This window comes from Homo sapiens, chromosome 13 (assembly GCF_000001405.40).
Source record: "Homo sapiens chromosome 13, GRCh38.p14 Primary Assembly".
Taxonomy (NCBI): Eukaryota; Metazoa; Chordata; class Mammalia; order Primates; family Hominidae; genus Homo; species Homo sapiens.
In genome coordinates, this window is record NC_000013.11 from 110171007 (window position 1) to 110190472 (window position 19466).

Below are 19466 nucleotides of genomic sequence, written 5' to 3' on the forward strand. Positions count from 1 at the left end.
GGCAAAGGCATCTGAATTGTGTTTAAAGACATCTGCAGCAACTGCACTGCTAAACGAAAGCCTCACTCCATCAGCACATGAATGGGCTGGACAAGCCAATCATGTTATATCCATGCAGTGGGACACTACTCAGCCATAGAAAGAAGTGAGCAACCACTGGGCTGGATCTCAAACGAATTATGTCGTGGGAGAGTAGTCAGGCTGAAAAGACTACGAAGTGTATGGTTTTATTTTTGTAAACTGCTGGAAAATGCAAACTAACCTAGAGGACCAGAAGGCAGATGGACGGTTGCTTGGGGAATGGGGAGAGGGCAGGAGGGGGGGATTATGAAGCCACGGAGGAGACTTTTGGGGGAAGGCTTTGCCTGCTATCTAGAATGTGGGGATGTTTTCATGGTGTAGACCTATGTCAGCCTTATCAAATTGTCCACTTTAAATATTTGTAGTTTATGACCTGTCAGTGAAACTTCAATAGAGCAGGTTTAAAAAATTAAAAAGTAACAGCTTGTAGGAAAAAGAAATTCTATGTTTAGTTTTAAACATAGTATCCAAATCTTACCAATAAAAATGCCAAAATTCTAAGGTTATTTCCAAAACAAAGGAAAAGGGAATGAAATAGGGTCAAGACCTAAAGTGGTCATTTGGGATTCTCTTCTCCTGGGGATTCTCCCTGCTATTTCACACAGCAATGAGTGGAAAACGCAAGGTGCTGCGTAGAGTTTGTGCAAGGGCAGTGCAGCATGTCCAAAGGAGTGTGCGGGATCACATGGCAAGGTAGGAAAGGCAGGGCAGGAACAGCCCACAGCGACCCCTTGAGCAGGTGCATTTGCAAGGGGCTCTGTGTTTGAGGGATTCTGTGAGTTAAGGGAGAGGGAAGTGTCCATTCCCAAGGCAGCCCACCCGGCACCAGGCCATCCTTCTCAACCCAGGGGTTCCCAGTGTCAGACTACATGCCTGCCAAGGAAACACTCTGGGCTGGTCTCGGGGAGAACCAGGGGGTGGGAGAAACAACACCTCCGTGCCCCTGCTCCTTCTCAGCTGAAGTCCAAGGCCTTCCAGGGCTTTCTGAATCCTCCCACTGAGTGGGATCACTCAGCCAGCCCAGCCACGGGCCATAAGCATGCCCATGGATGCTGTGTGTGAGCTCCTGGCTGCGGCCACCTGTGGCTTCTCTTCAGTGTCGTGCAGCTCACATGCCTTGTATTTTCTGTGTCCCCTTTGCTTTCCCATGAAATGCTCAGCTCTCTGAGAGAAGAGACTGCCTTCCCAAGCTCCTGGCCAACTCTCAGCTGCACTTAGTACTGAGCACATCGTGGCTGCGCAGGGCATGTTTTTGTCTCGTGGTGTGTGCTACATACTGTCCTGCATTCACATAAGTATAACCAGTTCTAGAAAGTCAGAATTTCAATATTCTGATGACCTTCTAGGCATAAAAATGACAGGGGTCTCGCCTCTCTGCTGGATTTTTACAAAATTAGTCCAAGTAAAAGATAATTCTGATCATGAGTGTACTGCACGCCATTTTGATCCATTAATTAGAAGGGAACCACATGTGTCTTGCAGGCATTGCCCTCTGGGCTCAGCACCCATCCTCCATCCCGTTGCTGCCTGGCCAACAGGCATGGGGCTTCATCCTGAAGACACTGCCCCTTGTTCTGCTAATCAGGCAGCAGCGGTTGGTTGAAAAGGAAGAGCACAGTGAGCAAAGATTACCTTTGTCTCCTTTGGCCCCTGGAAACCCTGGGAATCCTCTTCCTGGTAGACCTATAAGATGAGGGTAAAATGCCACGTTTCTCTTTACTTAAACAATCCATCTGCAGGTACAACACAAAGCACTATCAACTCTGCAATAATACTACGTATATTGTGGAGTACATAGATATTAGTTAATTGCACCCTTGTAATAAAATGATATTCCTACAGTTATAAGATACCCTTGACTGAATGTTCCTAATTTAGTACTTTTTCCTAAGTACCTTTCAGCTCAGAACCACCACGGCATTTAGCACAAATGATCTGTGCAAATGAGTATTTGTTTCCTGCTGCCGTCTGGAGATAAGCAAATGGGATTCTCAGACAACCATCCACTAATTGCTATTCTCAGGGAGGTGGGGAAAGCCAAAGAGATTTGGGGCAGCAGATGCTGGGGAGATGACAAACGTCAGCAAAGGGCTTGAGGGAAGATTCAAATCGGGGGAAAGGAGTGCAGGGGTATTTTTATGAATTGTTTGTATAGAAAAACAAATGTATAGAATATAAAGTTATGGAATGAAAAAAATGAAAAGAAAGCCAGCACCAATAGCTGTGGATGCTCTTGGTGGTCCTCCCAGTGTCCCCCCAAGTCAGGGGTAACCTGCTTCAAATGGTGTGTTTATCTCTCTCTTGCATTAAATACAAATATTACTGTGTATGTGATTGTCATCATCACACCTGCACTTTTGTCCAAGTTATGGCCAAGTTAAAGCCCACCAGTGACAGGAGCAGACTCAGGGGCCAACCAATATTTCCAACCATTTCCCCTCAAATGGGGAAATGCTGGGCAAAGAAAAGAGTTTTGTTTTGCTTTGCTTTGTTTTGTCATAGCAACCACAAGGGAAATGGAAAGTGTTCTAACAGCAGGTATTTTATGTGTCTCTGACTCACCACTGAGAGCTCAGGTTATTTCAGGGGAAGATGCCCTCAGTATTTATGGGATAATAAATACCCCTTCCCTTCTTCCCCTCCACTCATCCCACTCTACTCCACACATCCACATCAGTGTTTAAGTAGTTGCAGGGATGTGCAGTCTAGGGGCCATTCTGTGCCCAGCTTTATTCACTGAACACAGGCAGTCTGCAGGTCTCTGGGAGTGGACACTGCTGATTCTGATAGGGAATGGGGCGTTGGGCCATACCTGGTTCACCCTTCTCTCCTGCTGACCCCGGGATTCCATCACTGCCTGGCTCCCCTTTCTGGCCAGCTGGGCCTGTGGGGCCAGGAGTCCCAGGAAGACCTCAAAGAGAAAAGTCACATCAGACACCCGCATAACCTCTCACAGCACCCTAGCTGCCATACAAAATGGCCCTTTGCTGACATCCTTTAAGGGAGCTGTTCCCTCCCAAGCACACCTGGTTTTCCTGAGGTCAGTTCTGACTTCCCTTCAGAAAGGACCCTGCGTGCTTTCAGCAACACCACCAAACCCTGACCCTCAAAAGCTGGTGACAAAAACTCCATGATGGCCACAAAAACAGTTTGGAGATTTAGGTCCTAGATCCTGCTAGTGACAAGACCTCAGAAAGATCCTGTAACCTGCACTAGACTCAGTTTGCCCATCTGAAGATGGGAGACAGGACAGCTGGCCTCCCTGCTCCCCGTCTGTGATGGGAACTCCTTGGGGCCTCCCATCCCCTGGCCACTGTTCTCTATGTGCCCGGGCTGTGTCCCAAAGAGGGCCCTCTACCTGCTTCTCCTTTGACACCAGGGATGCCATCCAATCCTGGGAGGCCTTTGTCACCTTTTTCTCCAGGTAGCCCAGGACTTCCTAAAGAAAAAAACAAAACACCAGAACATCCATAAGTTTGGGCTTTTCTTTGATTTCTTAGATTCCCCAAGTCCAAGAGAAGCCCCCCTCACCTACCTGGATAGCCAACACTCCCGGGAGACCCTTTAAGGCCTGGGGACCCTGGCATTCCTGGGATCCCAATGCTTCCTTTTTCTCCCTTCTCTCCAGGGCTTCCTGGGAAACCCGCTATCCCTTGATCTCCCTGCAAGTAAAAGTCAGGCATATTAACTTTACATTTGTCCATGGGCATGCATCTGTAGGCATGTTATAGATAATGGTATACATTTTGGTGCAATGAATATTGCATTGCAAAACTCCATTTCCAGATTTCTCATCAAAGAATCAAAGTCCACTTCTGAATGGAGAGGAAAACTTAAGAGCAGTAGAGCCAACCATCTGGTTTCTACCTGCCATTCCTCTTCGTCCTCCATCCTCTCTGTTTTATCCCACTGACAGCTGTCTCCCACCTTAGCCTCTCACCAGTCTCTAGATTCTTCCTTGGGGGAGAGGTAGTGAATACAAGGGGAAGGAGAGGCGACTTGTGCTGCCTTATGGGACTCCCTGTGTGTTATGGCTCATTGAGTGTGCTGAGATATTTGCTGAGCATTTCTCAGGCAGCATCTCCACTGAGCTGGGAGAAGGGGACCTTTCCACGCAGAGCGCTGGTTACCTTTTCACCTCGCAGCCCTGGGATGCCTATGCCAGGTGGGCCTGCCTGCCCTTTCTCTCCTTTTGCACCTTTGTCTCCAGGTAAGCCAGGTGAACCTTGTGGGCCAGGGATGCCAGGCACACCTTTCTCTCCAGGTGTTCCTATAAACACAAACAATTGAAACTTGATTTGGGCTTAGCTAGTGCTGGTATTACAAATGAAAAAGTGCCTCCACAGCCAGCCAAGAATGAGATACAAGAACGTGAATCCCCCACAACCAGCCAAGATTGAGATACAAGAATGCACATCCCTCATGTATCAATCGGCTCATGACCCAGAACACGTCAGTCACCCAGATCACATCAGAGCCACGCTAGGAAATGTCTCTCCCGTCCTTTAAGACCATCATGTTATAAGACAGGGAAGAAATACATTAACTACCTAGAATATTTACTTTCTCAACAGAATAAAAATGGATCTTATGTTCTTTATTATACAGCCAGCTCTCATCAGCCAGACGTCACAGGGACTATGAGGCGGGCAGGCCGGAGTCTGTGCACACTCGGTTCTGTGATGCATGCTGGTAGCCAGGCTTATTCACACATAGGCATGACCAGCAATCTAGATGCTTATATTTTAATTAAAGTGATAACAGCACCTGGTCAAGACTCAAGAGGAGATGGAAAGATGGGCTTCCCATCTGAACTCTCCCCCTTTCTGAGTGAGCTCTGAGGACCATCACCACCCAGCCCTTCCCGCACTCTCCTCCTCTTCCCGGCTGCTCTCACTACAATAGACACTGATGGCAAAGCATTAAGGCTAGTCCGGGATTGGAGCAGAGGAGTCCGGAGAATTCTTCTGAACTAACACAAAGGGCTCTGGAGCCATAAGCTACTCAGGCTGACAAGCCTGGATGGAGAAGCCGTCGTCTCTTAGGGAGATCCTAGACAAGGGGATGGTCACTTGGAGATCATCAAAAGTTGACTGTATACAGCCCATGTTTTATTCCATTAGATGGTGAGTTTTCTTAGCAATGGCCATTCTGTCAGCCAAATGTCATCCATCCCTGAGCAGGAGACCATTCAGAGCTGGGGATGTGAATTCATGTGAAAGACACACGTGCCTGGATTCTGTCCGTCTCAGCTGAAGAGGATCTCATTCTGCAGACATGCCCTACCAGTATCACACGCACACATGCTAAAGAATCCTCTTCTAAATCCAGTTTACCTGGCAAGCCCATTCCACCAACAGATCCTTTTGGTCCCGGAAGTCCTGGAGCACCTGGGGTTCCACTTATACCTGGATCACCTTTAGGTCCTAGAACCATAAAGAAAGCAGTCTGACAGGTTGACATCTACAGAAAGAGCTGGGGAACACAGGCCTCATCCTGAGCCCTTGCCACACTGGGGACCGGAGCTCCACACTGTACCTGGCTGCCCAGGCTGTCCTGCCTGCCCGTCCTTTCCAGGCACTCCTGGGGTCCCAGGGTCTCCTCGGGATCCCTTCTCACCAATTGGTCCAATTTGTCCTACACATCAGAGAAGAAAATAGCAATGACCCGCATTTGCTTGCAAGCAAGTTGCTGCAGAAACGCAGGTTGGTTTGGTTATTATTTATGGAGGACCCGATAACCCAGGAAAGGCACATTGTGGTTCCGAGCTTGGCCATGAGAAGCCTCCTGGACTTGCCTTTCTCTCCTTGGTCTCCTTTCTGGCCCTTCATGCTGCCCATGTCCACCTTATCCATGGAGCCAGGCTTGCCAGGGAGACCGACATCCCCCTTATCACCTTTCAAGCCAGGGTCTCCCCTGGGTCCTGAGGAGCCCGGAAAGCCATGGTCCCCTGCAGAGGAAAGAGAAGGCACTGGTGAGCCTGGGCCAGTGTCACAGAGGTGCTCAAAAGGCTCACGTTCTTGTTGACAGGGACAGCAGCTGGCAAAAAGGCTACAAAGCACTCATAACTTGTCCAAAATGGCATTAATGGCCAGTGTCTGAGACACAGAAGAATCCAACCCCAGGTAAATGAGCAGTAAAAAGCCATTTTCTACAATTCATTATTCGCTAATAACTCTACTGCATGTGACTTGGCTTTCAGGTTTAGATAACTTACATTTCTCTCCTTCCTACATATCTTTATCACTCTTATTCATAGTGCCCCTCAGTTCTATACAAAATAATAGAACAGGAATTTTATCATTCTACAAAACAAATGACCTTTTCATGTGTCATATTTACAGTATTTCTTTGTAAAAGACATTATTTTGGAACAACTTCAAATAACGATAAGAAATAAAGACGAAGCCTTGTAAACTTGCGCAGGTTGTTAATCTGAGCCTAAGGACTCGGTCCCTGTATCTTGGCATGGCTGAAGATTCCACCATTTCTCACAAGAAGAATCTCATCTGTGCCAAGAAGGAAAGCCCAGCTTCTTTCTGATTTGCTTGGCCAAGCACAGTTTCAACCCCATGTGCATTGAGCACCAGGAATCCTACTGGAAGAAGGGGGTCTCCCAGCCTTCTGCTTGATGTTCCTAACTTCTTTTGTAGGCGTCTTAAAGGGAAATATGATCTATGACAACTTGAGAATTTCCCAAGTGGCATCGAGAAATAGACACAAAATGAGCTTCTAGGGTTATCAGCTCCCCTACCTTTTTCACCCGGTAATCCAGGAGCACCCACTGGTCCTGGTGAGCCCGGCTGCCCGGGGGTCCCCATGACGCCCATTTCTCCCTTGGAACCTGTGGCCAAAGGAAAGGACTGTGAACATTTTCTTGCTCTGAATGCTGACAGTAAATGCTGAGTCATAAAAAGAATAAGGTGAGGCCCATGTCTTCATGATGGATCCAGGCAGAAGTTCAAAAATCACTTACCTGGAAACCCAGGAATCCCAGGAGCCCCCTGCTGTCCAGGAAGGCCAGGGAGCCCCGACTGTCCCGTTATGCCAGGGAGTCCTTGAGCCCCTTTATCTCCTTTAGGGCCCGGCATGTCCAGTCCAGGGAATCCGGGGAAACCCTTCTCTCCTTTTATTCCAGGAGGGCCTGCAGTTGGGTGAAACACAAATAACTTTTAGCAGAATTTACAGAATGATCTACAATGTACAGTGCTCTGTTTAACTATGACTTTCTGCAGAAAGCCCGTGAGCACGCCCACACTGGGAACTTGAATGGATCATCTGTTAGGTGTTGGTGTTTGGGGTCATCAGGATAATCAAATGGCTCTTGTTCTAAAAGAAAAGCACTCCCCTTTCCTGTCATTGAGAGTCAGCAAGGCCACCCTAAGCACCACCACTGCCTTGTCGCAGTACTTAGGACTAGGGCTAGTTTTGCTCTAATTTCCATGCACCACCTTAATTCTATGATTATTATGATCAAAGGCAAAGCTAGGTTCTAGACATGGACTCAATTAGTTGAAATTATCCACCACTAATTAACCGTCCTATGGAAAGATAATATAGAGACATCAGTTAGAATAAAATGTGAAACGTGACGGAGTACACAATAAAGGAAAGGTCTCTTTGTTTGGCACATCATCTCAGTGGGTGGGAGAAGAATCTGGGACTACATTTAAGCAAACAATCAAACCTATTTTCACAAACTCGAGTTTTATTTTTTTCTCTTTTTATCTCATACATTGTGCTAAGCTTCACTTTATAGGGACCCCGGCCTCATCCCCCATGCTTCAGAAAAGCATGCTTTTGGGAACAGATAATTCTAGAAGCATGTCACTCACCTGACAACCCCGGTGGTCCCTGTCCTCCAGGGGGACCCCTAGCTCCAGGGGGGCCTATTCCTGGAACTCCTGGAGACCCCACGGAGCCTGGCAATCCAGGAGGTCCCGGTTCACCTGGAGAAGAAAAATTGAGAGTAAGCTGTACAGGAGCAGTGGCACGTCTCCCGGCCTAGGAGACCCATGCACACGAATGGCCCCAGCAACGGAAAGCCACGAGCTCTAGGCCTCTAAGATTTGCATCGTTCGTTCAACAAATACATATCAAATATACTCGGTAGGGGCTCTGGGAATGCAAAAATAAGCACATCCTGTCCTCGAAACCCTCCAGACTGATCTGCATGAAGTTACCTCTGATCCCCTGAAGCCCAGGGGGTCCGATCGCTCCATGTTCTCCAGGAACGCCTGGTACCCCAATGCTCCCCTTCTCCCCGGGTGTGCCAGGAATGCCGGGAAGACCTGGCAAACCTTTGAGTCCCGGTAGACCAACTCCAGGCTCTCCCTGAAAATCCCCAAAGCACAGAGAAGCAAATTGATTTGCAAAGTCAGTATTTTTATCAAACCAATAGCGTAAGTGAAGACTTAACAGATACTGCCAATGCATTTAGTAAGAATATTATCTGCTCAACCCTTTTCAAGCGTTTGCAAAGCTTCCTCATACCTATTATATCTTTTCAATCTCACCACAAGCCCCATAGGTGGGTAACTTTCATTGTTTTCATTTTACAAAGGAGGAAAAGCAAGGCTCCCCACGGATAAATGACATTTTTCTCAAGTCTTCTGACCTGAGCTTGTCCCCTCAACTCTGCAGCCTGGTGCCTGTGACAAAGCACTGGCCCTGAGTAACCGGTAAAATGCCAAATATGATTTGTGAGTAGTTAATGGAGTTCTTCCTAAGAGATGGCAAGGTTCCAGGGCTAGCATGGACACCAGTTATTTAGTTTTTTGGATTAATGAAGGTTTCACAGTAAATTAAGCATTTTAAACTATGGCATGAGTCACTGGGCTTTGATAGATACAGATGATTAAAATAAAGGGTGAAGGTGCCTTGGAAACAGCCTGGATTTAGGCATAGATGTGAGGCTCCAAAGCAAGCAGGTGGCCATGAAATCACAGGGCTCCACCGGTGTCCCCTGTCTGCAAATGATATTTCCAGAGAGGGAGGATTTGGACATTAGTGGGCAGTGGTAACTTCCCTATTTGTCCCAGAAGGAAATTCTCAAAATGGAACAAACTCCATCAAGGGGATGCTTGAAAAAGCATGGTATTTTTAATCATAAATTAAATCTTTCATTCCCATTCCATTAGGCATTTACTAACTCCTGAGTCTTGCACTAAGTTTAAGATGATCCGCAAGTTGCCGCGGTTGACTAAATGTTCAAATGCAACGTAGGTTATCAGGGGAAGCTGGTGGCGGGTTGTACAAAGACAAAGGTCCAAAGGTTTCTCTTCTGCCTCAGCCACCAGAGGAGGGCACCCTGCTGTCAGGTATTTCTCCGGAAGAAACCCCCCTGGGATCCCAGAGGCACGGCCCCTGTGGTGCCCATCTGCCCTCTCCTGAGGGCCAGGGAGCAGGCCCCACCTGGGTCCATCACTGGCAACGTTTATCGATGGCCGTTGGCCCTTTCTCCCGTTTGGTACCAATGCCTTCTGGCAATTTCACATTGGTTCCTTACAATCAGGACAGGAAAGGATCTAATCGGTAGTCGCTCACATTTGCTGAGCAGAATTTCAAGTATAGGCAAGTTGGTAGCAGAATATTTGAGGGCAAGGAGAATCCTGACTTCACCCTGTACCAACAGTTCTCAAGCCGGGGCAATCTGATCGCCCTAGTGACATTTGCCAATGTCTGGAGAGATTTTCAGTTGTGACTGGGTGGAAGGGGGATGCTCTTTTGGTGACCCATAGGTGGAGGGAGGGCTGCTCCTGTCAAAAGCCCTACAAAGGCACAGGGTGGCCCCCCACAGAAAAGAGCTATTGAACCCAGAATGCCAGTAGTGCTGAGGCTGAGAAACCATCCTGGGTGACTATGCTTTCTTTCAGGACAGTGGCTTTCAAACAGCCTTCATCTGCTTCTCACAGTAAGAAACATATTTTACCCTGAGTTTCAGCTTACACAGGCAAGAAAATGTCTGTCATAAAATTTCATAAAATTGAAACAAATGTTTCATAAAATCAAAACAAGTGTTTCCCTTCAAAATACTTACTTCCATGTGCTACGTTCTCTGATACTTTCTATTCTATGTTATTTCATCAAAAACAAAAATCTGCTGGCCCAACATGTCCTGGGACGTTCACAACCTGCATTTTTTCCATCCAACTAATAACAAGGATGGGGGAGAAGGGTCATGGAGGGAATGCTTGGCACTCACCTTCTGGCCCTGCACACCTGGGTTCCCAGGTAAGCCATTAAATCCCGGGCGACCTGGAGTCCCCGGTGGCCCCATGTCTCCAGGTAAGCCGTCAACACCTGTTTTAAAGAGTCAAAAAAAAAAAACAAACAAACAATCATTGCGATTACAATGCCGTTCCCCACTTTCTTCACTTTTAGTCTTGCCCAGAGATGCCGACCTGATCTGAGAAGGTCAACTGTGGAGGCCTTCCGAGGTGGCTGGAAGAGGCCAGGGGAGACTGCCCGGCAGAGGGGTCAGGTGCGTTGCTGTCTCTTCCAGCACCTCTGCCCTCCTCTTTCTCTCTCCTTTCCTTTTCTTCTGCTCTCTTCAAACTTTTCTTTCCCATCCTACTCTCCCCAAACAAAACAAATATACCCCTTGGCGCCTGCAGGTGAGAAGGGCACTTTATTCATCTACTCAAGGTGTGGTTGGGGGGGCAGGTCACCACCATCACTTCATTAGAAATGCAGACCCCAGGGGTCTATAAGGCAGGCCCACTTTTCAAGATCCCACAGGATCTGTCACTGAAGGACACCTGCCCACTGTCTGGGCCCCGCTCTGGAAGCTCTGATGGGCTATGAAGCTGGCCAGCCACTAGTTCAGACCCTTTGTATGCAACACTGAGGTCTCCGATGTCCAGTAATTTGTAAGTTTGCAGTGGCACACACCCGAATCACATCTTCTGTGAGGCTGCTGCACAGATAGGGTCTGTCCTCCTCACTGCCACAAAGCCAAGCAACTCCATGTCACATGGGTCACGGCCTCAGGTGAAGGAGGCACTGTGTGAGGCAATGGTGGAATGTGAGGGAGTTGTGAGTGTGACGAGGCCTCAGCGCCTGGCCCTCCTGAACAGGGATGCTCTGCTGCCCGCCCAGCCTGAGGGAAGCAGCCGTGGTGTGGGTGGGCGTTGCGTGGCTGTCAGAGGAAAGGGGCTGCCGTCTCCTGTTCTCCAAGCTAGCAGCCTACAGCAGTGAGGGTGGATGGGGCCTGGAGCCTCTGGGTAAGAAGCCTGGGAGCCTGGAGGAGATTTCAACCTAAGTGTGGCTGCGTGGTGTGTTGTACGAAGACAAACTTCCTTACACAACACGTCCCTTTTGTGCTCACAGCACCTTCTCCTCAGTCCTGAACAGAAGGTCTGTGATGACAAGTGTGTTGATCAAGGTCTACCTGAGGGACAAGTAGACCTAAGAAATGTGAAAAGCAGGGGGAAAAGAAATTCCCTCCTCACCTCCTTCCAGTTTTCAGCAGGAAGTGACGGCTCTAACACCGGTAGGACTCCTCCCCTCGGAGCAAAGGCCCCTCCCTGCGACTCCTTGCACCTCCCCCTGGGCGCTCCCCCAACTCCCAACCCACCCTGGCTGTGTTCAGGTGGACTGCGAGTCTTCCTCACGGATAAAAAGCAAACACCTGGAGGGTGGGTTTCAGCGGGCACCATTGGTGGCAGTGCCCATGCAGCTTGCACAGCCTTAGCGTCCCATCTTCCCAACCAAACCCTACACTGCAAGGCAGCTATTGCCTAGAAGCTCCTGAAATCACTGGGCTCAGCACTGCTTGGGCTCTTCTGAAAGCCTCCCTGAACAGCGGTCACCAGCTTCTGTGGTGTTTTGATGTCTACCACCTCCTCTTTTCTCACAGAAGTCACAGGTGGACCAAAGGCTCGGGTCCGTCTGGCAGGGTTACCTTTGGGGCCGGGGGGCCCTGGAAATCCAATGCCTGGCTGGCCCACAGCGCCCTTCTCTCCTGGCAGGCCTGGCCTTCCTGGGGTTCCGGGAAAGCCTCGGTCTCCTGTGGTGAGAAAGACCAACAGTCAGCGTGAGAAAAACGTGAGGAAACTCTCGTGGTATCCCGGTGAGCTGGAATTCCAATCGTACCTTGGGGACCTGGGAAGCCTGGGGACCCCGGCAGTCCTTCTGCTCCAGGGGGGCCTGGTAAAGGAACAATTTTTCCTGGTTCACCCTTTGGACCTAGAGGAAAAAAAGAGCAAAGACAAACGATGAAGGAATGAGGACCACACGGAACACAGGGAGGACACGCAGTGGGTGGGCTGCACGCCACATCCTACCCAGCACCACGAGTGCCCGGAGAGCAGAGCCTCTGCCTGTGTTCTCCACTTCTTCCCTTGGTGTTTCTAGGATCTTTCACAGAGAGCTACGCTTCTCCCCATGCGTTTGCATGTCCAAAATGACCAAGATGTTTGTTGGACACAAGAATCCCTTAAGAGTCCACAATTAAGAGTCACAAGAAGCTGAAAAATCTACAACAACAACATGTGAGGTGGCTCTAGGTGATTTCTTAGTGAGCCGGTCTCAAAAAGTCAAAATACTTTTGCTGTTCTCTCTCAATTTACCAAAGTCTAAGTTGCTTTGAGATTGACCTAAATTACGGTCGTTTGGTGGGAAATTATCCAAACAACATGATCCGCGGGTGATTACGAACGATCCATTATCTGTAATGGTGCAGCTGGAGAGCTCTGCGCTCACTTGAGCAACACAGGCAAAACCATCCTTCCTCCCAAGCCAGGAAGCACAGCCCCGGCCCTCTGGGCACTCATGCCTAGGAGAGCCACCGGAGTGTCAGGGTTTCGCTGTTAAGAAAGGACCAAAGGCTTCCCCTCCAAGAATGCACGCACTGAATCTTCGTACACCTCGTAAGAGTTCAAGCTATGTGGGGCCTCCCTAGAACAGCCAGCACATTCTTTAGCTACAGACTGTGGGAAACGCCAACTGAACGACCCTAGGAAATGCCTGCTGTTGGTGACACACACCCTGGGCACCAGGCTTTTATGATTACCACAGTTACACACAGCTCTGGCAGATCAAAGACATCTGTTTTCTAATCTCGAAGCTAATTGGCTCTGGATGGCCAAGGAGCCCTACAGCTGTGGGGAGAGAGGATCAACAGCCCTGTTCCCCCTCCCCAGAAGCCTTCTTCCCCATCTGCTAGGGTATATTTGTGAGTACTCCAGTTGGTTTCTCTGATGGTAGTTTCTCGCCAAAAGAAAAGCTAATTCCCTTCGACAGCTCTGGAAATCTGCAGATGTCACAAGCACAAAGACAGCACTTGATTTGTTGATTGTGGAATCAAGAGACCCAAGGGAAAGTGATCGGAAGTCCCTATGCCTGGCTCACCGAAGTCCTCCTCCATCAAACCCGGTATCCCCTACCTCTAATGGAGTCATAAAAGAGACATTTCTGGGACGCTTCTAAACAAAGAACAACCATCAACAGAGTCAGAACTTGATGCTAAGTACTCACTGATTATACCAACAGGGAGAAGGATAAGAGTAACAGTTATGTTAGCACACTACACCTGGGCTTCCATCAAACACTGGCTGACATTTCCCATACTGGAATGCTTAGGAACTGGACTGTGTGTGTGTGTGTGTGTGTGTTTTGTTTGTTTGTTTGTTTGTTTTTGAGACAGTGTCTTGCTCTGTCATCCAGGCTGGAACGCAATGGCACGATCTCAGCTCATTGCAACCTCCGCCTCCTGGATTCAAGCAATTCTCCTGCCTCAGCCTCCCAAGTAGCTGGGATTACAGATGCCAGGGTTTCACCATGTTGGCCAGGCAGGCCTCGAGCTCCTGACCTCAGGTGATCTGCCCACCTTGGCCTCCCAAAGTGCTGGGATTACAGGCATGAGCCAGCGTGCCCAGCCTATACACTGTATATTAATAAGGAAATATTAGTCCCTAATGGGAATAGGAATTCATAAAACAGGCTCAATATGGTTATTGACATAATCAGCACACTTGCGAGCCAGAACGGCATGCTGTAATTGCTCCAACGTGGTTATTGTTGGGTATTTCAAATATCCAGCTACTTTATTTATTTATTTATTTATTTATTTTTGAGACGGAGTCTCACTCTGTCACCCAGGCTGGAGTGCAGTGGCGAGATCTTGGCTCTCTACAACCTCTGCCTCCCGGGTTCAAGCGATTCTCCTGCCTCAGCCTCCAGAGTAGCTGGGACTATAGGTGCCTGCCACCATGCCCAGCTAACTTTTGTATTTTTAGTAGAGATGGGGTTTCACCATATTGGCCAGGCTGGTCTCCAATGTCTGACCTTGTGATCTGCCAGCCTCTGCCTCCCAAAGTGCTGGGATTACAGGCGTGAGCCACCGCACCTGGCCCCAGCTACTTTATAAATAACTATGTTTTTTAAGGTTTACTAGTTAGATATTTTTAATCACCTTAAGTCCTTTCACTCACTTTTACAACTTTTGAATGTTTCCTAGCAACGCGCATTTACTTCCCTCATCTACACACAAGGCATTCCTAGCCTCTCCTCTTCTCATTCCGGGATTTTCTAGGGAAGAACAGGCGTGCTCCATGTCTACTGGGAATCGCAGTCAGATAATAAACTATTAGCACCTGCTGTGTGCAAGGCCTAGCGCCACAGCCCCCTCCCGCTGGCCCTGAAAATAAGCAAGTCGTGGGAGAGGAGAACGACGAGGGAGCCCACACTCATCCCTGCTACAGGTTCTCTGGAAAACCTCTGAACAGGCTGTGCAGGAGGGCAGGGACCACGTCTGTGGTTTTGACCATGTGTTGTCAATGCTCAGCATAGAGCTTGGCGCGTGATTCACTCCAAAAACAGCAGACAACTAAAACCACCATGGAATGAAATCGTCATCGCGCTGTAGGACCTCTAAATCCATTCACAGGCGTCTGCCGACTGTGAAGAGGTGGAGATCACACCACTCGGGATGCACAGAAGCCAAAATGGGCTGCTCATCGGGGAAAGCCAAATGGGTAAGGAGAGGAAAATGACTTGACCTCGGTGTGACTTCTATACAAAGGCTGACTTTAGCTGGTGCGTGCTGTGTACTTACTTATGAGGACTGTAAACCCAAGTTCTCCACCTGCATATTACCTGGCCCATCACATACATGAGGAAAGGGAGGCACAAAAGGCTGAAGGCTTGCCCAGGTCCTGCCCCAATTCCTGGAAGAATCAAAGCCAAGTGTGCGCCCTGGCCTATGCGAACCCCAGGCCTCTGTGTGCACCCGAGGTGCCTGCCCTAACCTCCGTTTACAACTTCATGCTGCATCACGAGTTTCTCAGGCCTCACCTGGCAGGCCTGGGGATCCAGGGCCTCCAGGAAAGCCTGCTTGTCCTTTGTCACCAATGGGACCAGCAGGACCATATCCTGGAGGCCCAGGGGGGCCGGTGTCACCACGACTGCCTGGGAATCCAACTCCTCCAGGGGGGCCACGCTCTCCTTTCAATCCTACAGAACCCTGATGTGAGAAGAAGAAAAAGACACCGTTATCAGAGACACACCAACACCCTGTCCTTATCGCATTCTTCTGACATTTGTGGTCAATAAGTACTAGAGTTAACTGGCTCACACTATTTATTTACTTCATCTACCCTCCCAGGAGGGCCACCTTGTAGTTAATAAGTGAAACCAGCATTCTTCTCCCTAAGCTGAGCATTCTTCCTCCCTCATCTACTTAGGGAGATACTTTAGAGAATGAGATGTTGATACCTGGAATCTTTTGAAAACAATGACATGAATACTATTAACTTTAGATTTCACCTCCCATCCAAAGCAAAAAGATACACAAACACATCTGTTCAGTTCCCCCAAATGCATCAGAAGACACTGATCTGTTATCACCTAATTATTTGTCAATAATAACTGGCAATGCCTAGGTTTATAGACTTAAGTTGTTCCATGAACCATGAATCATGAAACAAGTTCATTTGTGCCATCATCAAGGAGATAGAAATACATCAATATGATTCAAATTACTCATTTCTCAATGCTTTGCAGATCCACACTGTAAAATGCACATTCAAAGTCTGGAGATAAACATACCGGCGAGCCCTTGGGGCCAGGAAGACCCGGATGGCCATCTCTTCCAGGAGAACCCGCTCTCCCTGGCATGCCGGGCTGTCCTGGAAAGCCTGGGTCTCCTTTGTCACCTTTGAGCCGCAAGTCGAAATAAAACTCACCAGGCTCCCCCTTGGCTCCTGGCTGGCCTATCAGCCCTGGTGTACCTTGAGGGCCCTGTAAGAACAAAGCCTTGTGATCCACAGAAGAACCCATCCATGAAGCACACCAGTGTGACTGTAACACAAGCAACCATAGAATCAAGAAGCCACCTTCTTGAAAATGGTCATGCATTCATGCCTCATCATTGATTTTCTAGATGCAAGCCAGGAGCTCTGTGACAAAGCCCTGGTCTGCTGCACTTCTTGTGTTTTTCTTAAAAACACTTATCTTAATTAGATATTTCAAGCAAAGACCTGGATGGGGCAGAGGGAGTTATAGTGTGGCTTTGGGCACCCAGCTCTCCTCCAGGAGTTTTCTTACCCTAACAACTGCTCAACATTCATAGGAACACACAGCACCTGTCAGAAGGTTCTGATTGATGTGTGGTTCATTGTGCAGCTTCAGTAACAGACAGACTCAAAGAACAATCGCTGTCCTCAGCTCTGCCTGCTGCCTCAGCCCCACCGGCAGCACGCAGAAGCCTTTTCTCCAGCTTCTGGGCCCACTGAGCTACCCGTCAGCACCTCCTGGCCAGTGCTGAATACTCCTGTGCATATTGAACAGGCTTCCTTTTATGCTCATGCCCAGAATTCCAGAAGAGATAAGGACTTCCAGGGCACCAGTGAGAGATGAAACTCTGGGAGTGGGCACTGGGCCAGCTCTAAAATGAGTTATGTTGAGTCAGCAGAGTCAAATTGACTTTCCCAAGAGACTCACACTAGAACGTTGCTCAGTTCCTGGAAAGTTAAAACTGCAAAGAACACCCATACCCACCAATGGCTTCTCCTCCAGCATCCTGAGACTTGGGTTTCACAAGAAAAACAGAAAATGTTTCCAACAATTGTCCCATTGACTTGTTCACTTAGGCCTGAGAAAGGCATCTTCAGACTCCCTGTCGACTTGGCAGAATTTTAACTCTGGCACAATTCACTTAATGTGAATTTTTTTTCATAAACTTCCTTGCAGAAGGTTCTTAGATATGTATGAATCCCTCACATGCACACGCTTCTGTGTGTACAGATGCTATGTGCTTCTCAAAGGAAGAAGTTGGTCAACCAAGGACAGACCAACATTTGCCCAATCTTTAGACTGAAAATATGGCTAGCATTGGTTACCAGCCTGCTAGGCACTATGACCCATTCTATAGCATCTCTGACCCTTATTGCAGCTCTGCAAGGAAAACATGGAAACCAGGACATAGCAGAGGAAGAAGCTGATACTCAAAGAAGTGAGCTGATAGATCCAAGACTACTCAGCCAGAAAGTGCTGGAACTGGGATCCACATTTATGCATTTCCAGCTGCAAAACTTGTACCTTATGCCTGTGCCTCTGGAGTGCTAAGGAGAGTTAGGGATGAGCGAGTAAAATCTGCCCATTACACAGGGGGAGAGGTGGGGCTTGAAGGACTTCTGTGTCCTGCTCAAAGTCAAACAAACAGCAAATGTGGGACTAACCTAAATGGAGCAGACTTGCTTTCCTGCCTGAATTGCTTCCTAACAGCTGAAACATCGCAGGCTAAGGAACGGGAGAAGCTGCTCTGCCTCCCATTCCATCTTCCATACCAACCACGATGCACTGACTCCTGGCCCAATCCCATCAAGCAGGCTTCCAGAAGTATGGAGAGAGTCGGCAGCAACTCTCTGCACTGTTCAATATGACTTGGAAAGTTAAATTAAATAACACAAAAAATGCAGTTCCTCCATTACAGTGACTACATTTGTTTTTGTTTTTTGTTTTGTTTTGTTTTTTGCTTGTTTTGTTTTGTTGAGACAGATTTTCGCTCTTGTTGCCCAGGCTGGAGTGCAATGGCGCCATCTCGGCTCACCGCAACCTCCGCCTCTCAGGTTCAAGAGATTCTCCTGCCTCAGCCTTCCGAGCAGCTGGGATTATAGGCATACGCCACCACACCCAGTTAATTTTGTATTTTTAGTGGAGACGGGGTTTCTCCATGTTGGTCAGGCCGGTCTCGAACTCCCGACCTCAGGTGATCCGCCCGCCTCGGCCTCCCAAAGTGCTGGGATTTCAGGCGTGAGCCACCGTACCCAGCAGTGACTGCATTTCAAAGACTCAACAGCCACCACTGGCCAGCAGCTGCCAGATCAGATGGCACTGACGTAGCACGCTCCTGTCATGGCAGAAGCTTCTCATGGACGACTACCAGTGGTCTGAGCTGGCCCCGCACTCTAATGCCCCTTATGACCTGGGACACTTCACTTGGATCTACTCAGGAAAGGTGGAACACACCCAGTCTATTTGCTCTGGGTCCCAGGAAAGGCAACAAATTATTTCTATGAGCCACCTGCCAGAAATTGTAGCAGAGAGTCATGGAAAATTTGTTATTTACTTGAAAGGTGTTTTGGGATTTTTAAACTGTTTCTCTTGAGTTAATATTAGCTCCTATGCATCCTTCAATCCCAGCTAAAATTAGCCTCCTCTATGCGGCCTTTCTTGTGGGCTCGGGCTGCCTTCTGGTCCTCATTCTGTAAATCACTTTGCTTCATTAGGACAGTCTATTTGCAGAGCTGTCTCTCCACTAGTATTTCAGGGCTCTGAGGGTAGGACCAAGGTTTCCTATCTTTGTATCCTTGGCATCCAGAACAAAAGAGATACTGGAGGAAGTATACACTGAACTGGCAATATTCATCCATTAAAAAATACTAGTGTAAGAAATTATAACCAATGTATATTTTTCTCAACCTGCAAACATCATTATATTATTTTATGGTGATTACTCACAGCCTAAAAATATAAAGCTCCCCAATACTGTGATCTTAGGGTGAGAAAATATAATTTTTTATTTTAACAATGATGACCTTGCCTGCCATCATTCTATTTACGGGAGAAATCTGGGTTTTTAAAACAGTGACATTGGTGACCCTAGGACATCTCGTGTGCTTTCTTTGCCACAGAACTTCTTGATTCTAAGTAGTTCAAAGGTCTTTTGATCCGTCTCCCTGAAAATAAATGCTGAGGATTCAACTACTGCCTGGAAAATTTAGCATTGGCTGCATTAATTGGAGAAAATCTGACACCTACGCTGTCTGCCTCTAAAAAGTGGTGCCACTGTGGAAAAAGTCAGGGAGTGTTGGTTTCAATTCATCCTCCCAGTGACCAGGAACCATGAAACCTGCTCAGACCAACCTGGGCATCATCAATCC

At 48.2% G+C, this 19466-nt stretch overlaps 1 protein-coding gene across 1 annotated transcript in view; it reads right to left on the bottom strand.

The window, feature by feature from the left end:
* COL4A1 (collagen type IV alpha 1 chain) overlaps window positions 1–19466 on the bottom strand; it is a 158195-nt gene that overhangs the window by 22044 nt on the left and 116685 nt on the right. The window contains exons 25-41 of the mRNA NM_001845.6: window positions 16132–16323; window positions 15379–15547; window positions 12178–12270; window positions 11987–12091; window positions 10286–10383; window positions 8265–8415; window positions 7917–8030; window positions 7058–7225; window positions 6836–6925; window positions 5879–6031; window positions 5620–5718; window positions 5418–5507; window positions 4212–4351; window positions 3617–3743; window positions 3440–3520; window positions 2894–2992; window positions 1714–1764 (exon numbers count right to left, since the gene is read on the bottom strand). Coding sequence (NP_001836.3) covers window positions 1714–1764; window positions 2894–2992; window positions 3440–3520; window positions 3617–3743; window positions 4212–4351; window positions 5418–5507; window positions 5620–5718; window positions 5879–6031; window positions 6836–6925; window positions 7058–7225; window positions 7917–8030; window positions 8265–8415; window positions 10286–10383; window positions 11987–12091; window positions 12178–12270; window positions 15379–15547; window positions 16132–16323 — 2020 coding nt within the window. The remainder of the gene's footprint in view (window positions 1–1713; window positions 1765–2893; window positions 2993–3439; window positions 3521–3616; window positions 3744–4211; window positions 4352–5417; window positions 5508–5619; window positions 5719–5878; window positions 6032–6835; window positions 6926–7057; window positions 7226–7916; window positions 8031–8264; window positions 8416–10285; window positions 10384–11986; window positions 12092–12177; window positions 12271–15378; window positions 15548–16131; window positions 16324–19466) is intronic.